Source organism: Homo sapiens, chromosome 12 (assembly GCF_000001405.40).
Source record: "Homo sapiens chromosome 12, GRCh38.p14 Primary Assembly".
Taxonomy (NCBI): Eukaryota; Metazoa; Chordata; class Mammalia; order Primates; family Hominidae; genus Homo; species Homo sapiens.
The window spans coordinates 47994789-48007179 of record NC_000012.12 but is presented as its reverse complement, the minus strand read 5'-3'; the positions used below and the strand labels follow the sequence as shown (position 1 = coordinate 48007179).

Below are 12391 nucleotides of genomic sequence, written 5' to 3'. Positions count from 1 at the left end.
GTAAGAAGGACTCTACAGTGCACAAAATGCATAGCTTTATATAACATCAATTCTGGCTATTTAGTGGTTTAGTTCCCCTTCTTTTCAGTTTCTTGGGTATGGTATGGATAGTGAGATTGTTGGACGATCAATTTCCAAATCAGTGATTTGCATATGTGTGCCACATATAGGTCTAATTCCAGTTTGAGTCACAAATTAGAGGTTTTTAATTAGTTGTTTGGAGTCACAGATGGGTAAAATATTAATGTTGGTGTTCAATTGGCTTTAGAATTTTAATAATTTCCATAGTTTATTTTGGCTTTGTCAATTTAAATTTTAAATTTTATTTTTCTTATGTCAATTCCCGTTGCTGGTGAAAAGAAATTTTCCCACAGTGGGTGGAGAGCTTAACTTGTACTCATAGATGGACCATGATTGCTGGAAGGAATCCAAAGCTCTTATATGTAGACACAGTCTATTGGCAAAGATGAATCACAGAGCTAGAGGATGAAATTAAGAACAAATTTGCAACGAGTCTGTACCACTTTGCTACTCACTAAACTGGATCATTTTGAACTAGGCTTCGATTTTTTCCACATACTTTAGTGTGTTCTCCCAAATTCTTTTTTTTTCTGTTGAATTTTTATGACAACTTGTATTTGAAGTCAGTTGTATAAATGCCTTTATAGTTGTATCTAAATTATTAGTCCACAGGGGCTTTCCTAACTCCTATGTGTTAGAATTGTGCTAGGCACAGTTCTTGTCCCCAAGCATCTTCCAAGCTCATTGATGAGATAAAGACCAATGGATATAAGGGGAAAAAATTAAAACTACACAAAAACATATGTAGCTTAGGCTATAAATGCCAGGGGGATTCAGAAAGCCAGGGAGACGTTGTGTTCTAGAGATATCAGAGAAGGCTTCTCAGAGGGGCTTTAACCTAGGAGGTCTTGATAAATGTGTGGAATTTGGTCATTCTATCTTCCAGGTAGAGAATATAGGACCTTCTGAGCCCCAAAGAGGACATGGGGCACTGATGGCAAGAGACCAGCTTTCTTCTAGCAGAGATTGGGCCTGAGGAAGAGCCCAGAGCTTAATGCAAGCCCCTGAATGGGAGCATGGAGACTCAGACAAGGCCCGTGGAAGGTAGGGGAGATGCTGGAAACTGGTTGAATTCTTCCCCATCTCCATCCAGACTGGACAAAGCCTAGAAGCATTTCCTTCAACAATGAGTTCTTTCCCTTTCCAACCAGAGCACTTGGAACTCCAGCCTCTACCAGGACAAGTGTCAAAGCATGATAGGCTAGGGATGGGGTCCCAGGACCCCTGGTGGAAGCCTAAGGCCCAGAAGTAGCTTCTTTCAAGTGCTCTCAGCTTCTAGGGGGAAAGCTCCAGAGAAACAAAACTGCCCAGGAGGGCAGAAGTTCTGGTTAAGTCAGACCCCAAATTCTGAGTTTCATTTTGCCTATAGTTCTTTGGGGGACCATATCGCTCAAAAGGAAGGTCTGTTTGGGGACGTTTCCTCCCTGGTATGAAAGGAGGCACCGGAGACCAAGAGAAGAGACCAGCTAAGCCCTGGGAAGAAGGCAGTTTGGCTAAGGTGAGAGAGGGCGCTCACCGGGGAAGGTGAGGTGAGGCGGCAAGCGGAGGGCTAGGGGGCCGACTGGGAAATTCTGGCGCTTCTCCCCGGCTCACAGAACTCGCCAGCTGGATCGGCCTCCCCGATCCCTGGCCAGGGCCGCAGCAGTGACCAACCGTCCCTGGCCAAAGCTGCTCTACGACGGCCGGCAGTGCCCACTCCCCGGGGGACTCCCGGACCCCAGCCAGGAAGAGCAGACACCACGTCTGAGCCTGGAGCTAGACAGTCCCCCCACAGCAGGCAGCTTGCACCGTTTAGTCTCGGCTCCCTCCGTCCTCTGTGGCTCTTTCAGTCCCCTTCCCAGGGCCTGCCCCTGCCCCCCACACCTTCACACAGGTCTCCTTCTGTGCAGTAACACACCAGCTCTTTTCCTGGCTGTCGGCTCAGGCCAACTTCGGCCTGTGCTCCAGAGGAAGCCTTCAACGCAGAGCTGGATGGGGGAGGGGTGGAGGGCAGTCGCTGTGAACGTCCAGGTGGGAGTCTGGGGACCAGGTACTGCAGGGAAGGGCTAAAAGATAGGTCGGGGTAACCCTTCAGATCTGGCTCAGCTAGCCTGTCTCCAAGATTTAGGACTCTGAATCTCTGTGGGCTCCTCCCTGTCCCCACTCCCAAACGCCTGACGCGGTGCCCCCTCGCCCTCCGCTGCTCCTTTCTACCGCTTTCCCTCCTCCCTCCCATGTCTTTTCCGTCCTTGGTCTAGGGCTCTCGGCCTGCGCCTCTGCAAACACCCCCTCCCCTCCAACTCCGGCAGAACTCCGAGGGGAGGGGCCGGAGGCCACCCTTCCCGCCTGTGGTCAGAGGGGGGCAGCGCCGCAGCCCCGGGTTTGGGGGGCAGGGGCCATCTCTGCGCCCCGCCCGATCAGGCCACTCGGCGCACTAGGGGTGGAGGGCGGGAAGCGTGACTCCCAGAGAGGGGGGTCCGGCTTGGGCAGGTGCGGGCACTGGCAGGGCCCAGGCGGGCTCCGGGGGCGGGCGGTTCAGGTTACAGCCCAGCGGGGGGCAGGGGGCGGCCCGCGGTTTGGGCGAGTTCGCCAGCCTCGAAAGGGGCCGGGCGCATATAACGGGCGCCGCGGCGGGGAGAAGACGCAGAGCGCTGCTGGGCTGCCGGGTCTCCCGCTTCCCCCTCCTGCTCCAAGGGCCTCCTGCATGAGGGCGCGGTAGAGACCCGGACCCGCGCCGTGCTCCTGCCGTTTCGCTGCGCTCCGCCCGGGCCCGGCTCAGCCAGGCCCCGCGGTGAGCCATGATTCGCCTCGGGGCTCCCCAGACGCTGGTGCTGCTGACGCTGCTCGTCGCCGCTGTCCTTCGGTGTCAGGGCCAGGATGTCCGTAAGTCTTCCCCCGCCCCTGCCTGCCTGCCTGCTTTCCATGCGTCCCTCAGCATCCTTCTCCCCGGCCCGCTCCAGCTCTGGAGCCCGCGGCTCCGGGCTAAAACGGCTCCCGGGGTCGTAGCGCGCCGACTTAGGCACAGGACACGCAGAAGTTCACCAAGAAGAGTTCTGCCAATCAAGGACTCTGTCCCAGGGTCCTCGGTGCCCATCGCAGTTGCAAGTATTTGCAGGTCCCTACGTTGCGCTAGAATACTGAACTTGCAAAGTGTTGGCTCGGAGAAGTTTGCGCACAGATATAAATGGGCTCTTTTCCACCAGCTTTGATAATTAGGCGCACATGCACACAGCTCGCCTCTTCGAAGCACTTCGAGTTCAGCAAAAACAGATCTCAACTCATCGAACTTAGGTGAAGTAGGAAAGAGAGAGCGCGAGCGAGGGAGCAAGCAAACGCCAAAGGGTTGACTTCACAGCCTGTCCAAGGCTTGGTGGCTGGTGGGCTCAAAGCAGAGTTAGACAAAGGGGACTAACACTCTGACACTGGTGGGCTGAAATCCCAGGCCACAAAGAACGGCTTCCGATAGGCCCTCTGAGACCTCAGCGCCTCTTTAGGGTACCCTCCCCCTCCCAGCTGGCCCTGGAGCAAGGTGCAGCCCTAGCGCTCATCTCGACTTCCCTCCGTCCGCCTGCGCCTCTCTTCTGATAAAGGGTACAGAAACTTCCAGTAGGAGAGGCCATCTGAAAGACGATAACATTCCAACCAGACCGTGCTTTTCAAATGCCCCCGAAAATAGCGCCCCCTTCCCCGCGGTCTTACCCCATTCCCCGCCGCCCCGAGGTACTACAATGAGTTACTTTTCTAAATTCTGGAACTCACCGAGCCAGGCTGCGTGGTGTGTGTGTGTGTGCGTGTGTGTGTGTGTATGTGTGTGTCAGGGAAGGGGAGCAGGCTGGTCGATTGCTACGGTTGCTACAACTATTTCAACCGGTATAGTTAGAGATGGCTCTTGTAGTCGGGTCCAAATGCTGTTCGGACTGCACCTTTCTACCCCTCCTTTGGTAAGGTCCACTGTCTGGGATTATATTCAGGACAAACGAAGCCTGGAAAGTGTATTAGGTAGAGAGGATTTTTTTTTCCACGTGTTTGGGCACGTTTCCGACGGCTGGGATTCCAGCCCTGTCTTTGTATGTTACAGATTGTAAATCAATCGCAGAGGGAAACTCTTCGGCGGGGGGAATAAAAGTTCTCTGCCTTCGAGGCTCTGTGGGCCCTCTCCTGCCACCAGGCTGTTTCCAGGGATAGCGTGGAAGGCGGCGGGCTCAGGCGGGCTTTCCGGTCATTAGCGCAGCGGGGGCAGGGCTGGAGCCTGCGGCGCAGCTGCGAGGAGCCGGGAGCAGGAGACTCTGGCCGGGTCACCCGGTAGTGCGCTAAGCTGGAGGCGCGCTCCTGGGCATTTGAGGAATACAGCGTGACTATACGTGGCCTGGACTCAGACTGACTATATTTTTGTACTACATTTACAAGCACACGCCCACAAAGCTGTCTTCTTGACTGACCCCTGCCTTAGTGCGCAATGGAATTAGCTGGGTGGCTTTAAAATAATTCTCAAATTCTCCATCCGGTATTAGGGTCGCTTGCTTAATTAGGCGGTAGAGCTCTCTCATCGCCGCATCTTTCCTGGGAGGGAGTGATTCCACAGCTTCTCCGGCCCAAACCTTCCAGTCGCTCCTCCTCCCAGAGGGAGTGTGATTCTGCATCCGAGAGGCTGATTTTGCGCCCTGGAGCATCCCACCTTTTATAACTTCCCCCGCCTGGGGTCAGCGGACCCAAAGGTGTGACGTGGGGAAATGCGCAGTCTGCGTGGACGTCAGGAATGTCAGACACCTAGAGCTCGGCCACACCCCTCCTCTCCATCTTTCCACGAGTTTGAGAAACTTACTGGCGGCGGCGTCTTTGACCCTCATCTGCATTTCAGAGCCCTCGCCTCCGAAAGTGCCCCTGGCTCAGGGGAGAGATCTCAATCCTCCTTTGTGAGGCTTGTTTGCATTGGGAGATTGGCAGCGATGGCTTCCAGATGGGGCTGAAACGCTGCCCGTATTTATTTAAACTGGTTCCTCGCGGAGACCTGTGAATCGGGCTCTGTGTGCGCTCGAGAAAAGCCCCATTCATGAGAGACGAGGTCCAGTGGGTTCTCTCGTACTCCCAGACCCCCTCTCCCACAATGCCCCCCTGTGCCCGCCCGCCGCCACCTCTCGGCTCCAGCCCTGCGCAGAGCGGCGGTGAAGCAAAACAGTTCCCCGAAAGAGGTAGCTTTTTAATTGGCTTGCCACAAAGAATCACTTATACGGCCCTGCGGTAATGAGGGGAACCGGATCAGGCGCGCCGGGATGCTATCGGCAGCCGTTTTGGAGCAGCAATTATGGTGGTGCTGGGCTCCTCCGTCCACACCTAGGGGATCCGGTTACGGCGCTGGCTCCTTTCTGGGGCAGTCATTTAATCCCACTTTTCACTCTCCCGGTGTCTGTGAGCGAGCCGTGTCCAGAGCCGCAGCCACAGAGTCACTCAGCGGCTCTTACACCCAGCGCAGCCTGGCCCCGCCCCTGCGCCGGCGCTTCCCGGGCCGCCCTTCCCCGGGAAATCTGATCCGCACGGGGAGTGGCCCCTCTCCTAGCATTTCCCCCTCTCCTCCCTGGGTCCTCATGGGCGAGGGTGGGCTCTCCTGTAGTCTGGGCTGGAGCGCATTAACCGATGCCCCCTCTCCCACACCTTCCTCACCGCCTGCATTCCACTGCTCCAGCTATTTTAACGGCGGGTGTGTCCCCGCAACTTCTGTATTTTCCCTGGAATCCCTCACCCTCCTGTGATTATCTTGCCCAAAGGCTAGGCGGATTTCTTCTAGTGGGAAAGTAAAAAGGAAAGTTTATCTTTGGATTTTCACTCTCTTTAAAGAGCAGTGGGCAGGCTCGTTTCTTTCTCGCCCTCTGGGTTTGTGGCTCTTTCCTATTATTCATCCCCTGCTGCTGCTATTGCCTTGGGGATTTTGATGAGAAAAACAGCGCTGGGCGCTCCCTAGCACGTGGTGCGGGCTCTACAGCCCTTGGCTGCTAAGGAGCGCTCTTGTCAGCACAGGTTTCATTTGCAGCATGAATTCCAGACGGCAGGGCGCTGGTGGAGGAGACTAGTCCCTGCTATTCTTCCTCTGCAGTCTTGGAGGAGGCCAGGCCTGGACTGGCCAATCTTAGCCCTAGCCAGGTATTCAACGACCCCTGCTCCCCAAACTGGGGTGCTGTTTTCAGATGGAGGCAGGGCCTCTCCAGGCAGGGCTACAGGTGGAGGTCAGCACTGGGGGCGCTTTGGCTCCACTGGCCTCCTAAGCAGTTTATTAGCCTGCCCAAGCCCCAAGTGTATTGTTTGAATGGGTCTATCCCCCTCCCCAAATTGGTCCTAATTCTAATATGGTTCAAAGAATGAGACAAGATCCTAATTCTAATAGCTCGTCTTTTCACCCCCCTTTCTTATATACCTATTTTTGGAGCCTCACTGCTTATAGATTCCAATTTTTGTAGGTAGAATTTTCTACATTCCCTCTGAATGTTAGTTGTCAGTTGTATTTAGCTAATCCCATAATTCCCAGAGGAAGGCAGAAGAAAGAAGACTTCTCTGCTCCTGGGCTGGTGGAAGGGAGGTCTCGCCATTTTTCTGTCTCCTTTCTTTTTATAGTCCCAGAATTCCTATTCAGAATATCTTGTCTCCTCCCTTCCGCTCACCCTCCAACTCCCTCCACCCACTCCATCACCTGGTCTCCCCCGTATTAGGTGGGTAAAGAGAATATAGTATAGTAACCCCCCACCTTCATTGCTGGGTCAAGATTTTCACTGGTGAATAGACAACATGGTGCAAGGTGCATAATAAATATTTGTTGAATACATGGAAAAATCAATGATGTTTTAGGAAAATAATTTTTAAGTTCTATATGTCCAGGTGGCCCCAGCCTACATTCTTCAGCATTTGAATTCTGTCAAGTTGACTGCAACCTCTCTCTTTTTCTCTCTGGCTCCCCACCCCCTCCTTCCCTTGGCTCTCTGCTTCTCCCTCCCCACCCTTGGTGCAGAGGAGGCTGGCAGCTGTGTGCAGGATGGGCAGAGGTATAATGATAAGGATGTGTGGAAGCCGGAGCCCTGCCGGATCTGTGTCTGTGACACTGGGACTGTCCTCTGCGACGACATAATCTGTGAAGACGTGAAAGACTGCCTCAGCCCTGAGATCCCCTTCGGAGAGTGCTGCCCCATCTGCCCAACTGACCTCGCCACTGCCAGTGGTTGTAATTTATTTATTTCCTGTTCAACATAAATAAATTACTTGCAAGCACTGCAAACACGCTCCCATAGATGCTGGTCGTCTCTGCAAAGCAGAGGGGCTAGTTATCCATGGGACCTGGTAGCTGGGGTAGAAAGGAAAGGCCACTTCTCACTTGCAGGTTGAAACTGAGTGAACGAGCCTGAGACACTAGAGGGGTCCTTCTTTGCCCAACATCTCCAAAAACATTTGCTTCCAAGACACATGAAGGACAGATGTGATTCTACAAAAAAAAAAAAAAAAAAATCCTCTCTGAAATCATCTCTGCAAATTACTAGAGCCACTATGGAGATCAAATGCTCTGTCTGGCCAATCCACGAATTAATTCCTCCTCTGCCACCGACACCTTGTCTTCTCCTTAGAAGACTTCTATGTATGTGGTCTTCAGTGTGGAGAAAGCTCTGCCAGCTAGTGGGGAGACTGCAGGGGCAGAGGCTCCCTCTTTGAGTTATGGAACATTGGTGGTAGTTTCCTCTCTGCTATTACCTCTCTTGGAGTTGACCATTAATTCAGAAGCAAAATAATAGGAGAGGGAAGGGCTAGGCTTTGGGAGTTCTCGTGGGGACGGGTGGAGACAGAGCCCCATGTATCTGCACTGTAGTGGGTGGTTATAAACTCCCAGTTAGATCCAGTGCTGGTGGATGATATATGTGCAGGTGACCCCTTCCCAGCATTCATACAGATGTCCTATCTCCCTGCAGAGTGAGTGGGGACGCTTGTGTAGGTTTTTTGGGTAGCTCTTGCTGTCCGCTTCCTGCTGAAGTAGAGAAGGCCGTGGCAAGGGAAGTGAGAAGCTGCCTTTCCTTAACACTTCACCAACACTGGCTCCCTAATGTGCAGATTCCCAGATCCTTTCTGAGGGGCCCGTGTGAGTGAAGTGTTGATTGCCTTTACTATTTTGCTGCTACTGTGAAGGAGAGGTTATTGACTGGGGATGGCACAGGCTATGATGCTCCGATGCTCTTCATAACTCATATGCCTTGCTGTTTTTGTGTTTTTATTTGTGCTTGCTTCAAGGAGACCCAGCTCTAATGTAAGACCTTTCTAAGTACCTAACTCTTCCTCTGGGAGGGCTTGGGGTTCGGGAACGGCTCCCTACCCTGTGGGGGGAAGAGAGACTGAATCTGTGCTTTCCTTCTTGTGGCTGATTAGATCTTGAGCTCTTCATTGCCTTTTTGTGCTGCCCTTGCTCCTTTCTTTTGCATGCTGCCTGCTTTTTGAATAACAAAGTCTGGGTCACCTCCATTCCTCATGGGACCTCAGCAACCCCAGGGCCACAGTGGCCCTAACACCCCAACAGAGGGGTTCAGTGGAGTCACAGGAAGCTGCCGCCTTCCTTGATTGTGTCCTTTTACTTGTTTGATCTAATGAGTGTTTGAGTGACAAGAATAGGTATTTTTCCATCTCAAGATTCTTACCTTCTTCTTCTCTATATTTTTTCCCTTGCAGGGCAACCAGGACCAAAGGTAAGGGCTTTCTTCTTTTTCTTTTTTCATATTTTTTTGGCTTTATATTTTCTGCTTCAAAAGCAATGCTATGTTAATCCAGTCTGTGATTTTTTAGACATCAGAAGATATCTGTTTCAGAGGGTACCTCAACACAGGGGCTGCTGGCAGGGTTTTAGACTAGGGGCTTAGTGGGCTTACTCGGCTTAATCCTGTGAATGTTTCATGTTTCAGGGACAGAAAGGAGAACCTGGAGACATCAAGGATGTAAGTGCAAATTATTCTCACCCGGTATTGCAGCTGCTGCTCTAAATGGGTCATTTCCTTGTGCTCTCCTCTAACTTACCATCCTGTGGGGCTCTCTCTCACAGATTGTAGGACCCAAAGGACCTCCTGGGCCTCAGGTAAGAGAGGGAGAAATCTCTTTCTCCGTCCCTTCCTCGCTGCGCGCAAGTTACTGATCTGCAGGCTCCTGGCCTTGCTGTCATCTTACCATGTTCTTCACCTTCAGGGACCTGCAGGGGAACAAGGACCCAGAGGGGATCGTGGTGACAAAGGTGAAAAAGTGAGTAAAAAGCAATGCTGCTTGACCCTGGTGGACTTCCCAGGTCCCCCAAGGCCCCACCATGTGTTTAAGGGCCTGGTCACCTCTTAAAGAGCAGCCAAGGGACAGATGGCTCTTGGAGAAACACTGCTTCCCATTGATGCCTTTTTCTCTTTATGCCAAGGGTGCCCCTGGACCTCGTGGCAGAGATGGAGAACCTGGGACCCCTGGAAATCCTGGCCCCCCTGGTCCTCCCGGCCCCCCTGGTCCCCCTGGTCTTGGTGGAGTAAGTATCCTTACTTCCCATTCCTTCAGGCTGTCCCTCCAGAAATGTGGCTTTTAAATTGCTGCTTGCACTTACCTGGCTGGCTCCCAGGGCTGCCAGCAGTGTGTACATAGCCTGTCCATGGGCTTTGCCCTCAGGCCTGTAATTTAGAAGAGTCACATATTAGGCATGAGACTGTGGTGCTAAGGGCTGGCTTTTTTCACTAACTGGGATTCTATAAAGAAAGTCCTCAGTTACCTGGCTTCCTGGCATCTGTACCACGTAGTTGATGCTGGGGGGTGGGTGTAAGGGATAGGAGGAAGGATGACTGGGCACTTGTATTTCCCTGGAAGACGAGTGACCACTGTCCTTGGAAGACATTTATCCTTGGTTCTTGCCAAGTACATTCCAAGCAACTATTCACTCTCATGAAAGAGCTCCACTGAGTGAAGGTGTGTGGCTAAAGTCAATTCTGGAATCAAACCAATCAACAAATTATATGATTGCCTAGTTTTTGCAGGTTTGCTATTTTGATGTTTGCTGTATTTTAAATTCTTAAACTCAAATGGGATCACAGATGCCTACTACATCTCTTGCTGAAATATTCCAAGACTGTTGATTTTAGTCTTTTGCTGGGCACTAAAGTCTTAAAGAATAAAGAACACCCTTAGAAGGTTTGGTTATGTTTCTCCATATACGTTAAATAACATCTGTCATATTTTAGAGCATAAAAATAATTTTATAAAATGAAATGCAAGGAACTGATACTTCCTCAAATAACACTTTCCCTTCCAGTGAAATGATTTTGCCACTGTCATCTAATAATCCATTCCCAAAATTACTTTCCAGGCATCAGTGGTAATTCTGATCAATGATAGGTTAGTCTCCAACAATCAGAGTTTATCTCAGTAGAGTTCTTTGTATCCATATAGAGCTTACCTAGCCAAGTAGGGAAGACCTAGTGCCTTTCAACCTCCTAACGTTGTTGGGTTTCTTTGCAGAACTTTGCTGCCCAGATGGCTGGAGGATTTGATGAAAAGGCTGGTGGCGCCCAGTTGGGAGTAATGCAAGGACCAATGGTAAGAAAAGACACTAGTTCTTTGCAGCCAAAATGGCAGGAGGTGGCCCTTAGCAGAGCCAGAGAGTCTGACAACCTCTGCTTTACAGATAATTGCTTAGAGTGGCTCTCCTCCGTAGTTATGTAACCTCCCATTCAGCTAGCCCAAAGCATTTGGTTTTTAATGGCAATGGATGCCACTTTTAATGATGCGCTGGAGTGACTAAGAAGAATGAAGATGGGGAGATGCATATAGGCTGATCTGTTAGAAGACCAGTTGCTATTGCTCTTGGAATGAGAACTGAAGAATGCAGACAGCAGCTACTGTTCTCCAGCATCCACAGACTTCCAGCAGGAAATCTCAGCCCGCAGCTCTGACTTGGCACATGCTAAATGAAACTCAGCCTTTAGTAAACATGGCTGCTGTCCAGGAGAAAGCAAGGCCAGCTTTTCTGTCCAAATGGTGCCTATAAATAAAAATAGAGTGTTGCGTGGGGAGTGGGAAATGAGAGGGAGCAGCCACTCTAGGCCCCTTGCCCACAGAGTAACTTCTTGTCCTTTGCCCGGGCTGTTGGCTGGGAGAAGATGGCACACTGGAGGCCACTGAGGAAGCATGTGTAGTAAACCCCTCATTTTCTGTTCCGATGCAGGGCCCCATGGGACCTCGAGGACCTCCAGGCCCTGCAGGTGCTCCTGTAAGTATCTGCAATTCTTTTTGCCTCCATCGTGTCGCAGATGATTCCCAAGCACTATGATGTTTTAGCAGTTTATAGGGATTGACCTGGTATCCTCATTTTACTTTTTAGGGGCCTCAAGGATTTCAAGGCAATCCTGGTGAACCTGGTGAACCTGGTGTCTCTGTGAGTACCAGCACGGCCCTGTCCCTTCTCTGGGGGAGCCTCTAATGATAGACCACTAGGACCGCAGCTGCTGTCCCTCCCAGGCTCTGCCCAGCTCTTTCCCACAGTCGGTGGCCCCAAGGAAATTCGGATGTCACTTCCTAGCTGTGGAGGAACTCTGACAGACAGCCCAATGTGGCAAGGACCACCAGGGACTCTGTCCTAACAGCCCCCTTTCCGGGTCACCCCAGCCTGTGCTATCTGCTGCGTCCCACTATGATCTCTGCACCTTTGCTCTGACCTTCCCATCTTTCTTCTTCATAGAAGAACTGGCTTCCAAAACTACAATGTCAAAGTTTTGTCCATTGCTTAGGTGTCTTCCCACTATAACCATCTCTTAAACTATCTTCCTTTGTTTGTAGGGTCCCATGGGTCCCCGTGGTCCTCCTGGTCCCCCTGGAAAGCCTGGTGATGATGTGAGTATACACGAGTAGACAAATGAGGAGCTGCCTCCTTTGAAAGGGCCTGGAGAGGGTGTGTGCTTGGGGAGTGACAGGGAGGCACCCAGGGTGGAGGTATCTTGAGGAGCAAGACTGGGCAGTCCCAAACCCTGACGCCATCTCCTATCTATATGGCCACTGTGACTGTGCTGGCAAGTTCCCTGGGGACCGCTTTGGATCCAAGGGGAAGACAAATAATTAAAACATCATTAGCCCCAGGAAGGGAAATTGAGAAATGAGAGAAGGGAGAGAAAAAATACAAGGCAGAAAGATGTAGAGAAGGAAAAACAAAGAAAGAAGCGTTCAACAACCCAGCATTATCTTAATTGTAAATGAGTTAGAAAAAGCACAGCCTGAGTCAGGATGTCTACAAAGGATGCAAACGAAATGAAGAGACAAGAATTGGCACTCTTGTGCTATTTTTATGAATTGCATTAGACAG

At 51.4% G+C, this 12391-nt stretch overlaps 1 protein-coding gene across 7 annotated transcripts in view; it reads left to right on the top strand.

Annotated features, from left to right (window-relative positions):
* The window catches only part of COL2A1 (collagen type II alpha 1 chain), a 33246-nt gene continuing 21822 nt past the window's right edge, over positions 968-12391 (top strand). The window contains exons 1-13 of one of the 7 annotated variants that reach the window (XM_017018829.1): positions 968-1125; positions 1451-1579; positions 2883-2943; positions 7055-7261; positions 8749-8765; positions 8979-9011; positions 9116-9148; positions 9256-9309; positions 9473-9574; positions 10555-10632; positions 11261-11305; positions 11417-11470; positions 11872-11925. In XM_017018829.1, coding sequence (XP_016874318.1) covers positions 1090-1125; positions 1451-1579; positions 2883-2943; positions 7055-7261; positions 8749-8765; positions 8979-9011; positions 9116-9148; positions 9256-9309; positions 9473-9574; positions 10555-10632; positions 11261-11305; positions 11417-11470; positions 11872-11925 — 903 coding nt within the window. In that variant the 5' untranslated portion in view covers positions 968-1089. Of the gene's footprint in view, positions 1126-1450; positions 1580-2703; positions 2944-5626; positions 6196-7054; positions 7265-8748; positions 8766-8978; positions 9012-9115; positions 9149-9255; positions 9310-9472; positions 9575-10554; positions 10633-11260; positions 11306-11416; positions 11471-11871; positions 11926-12391 lie in introns of those variants that run through there. The other 6 variants (XM_017018828.1, XM_017018830.1, XM_047428315.1 and 3 more) reach the window with 6 other exon arrangements.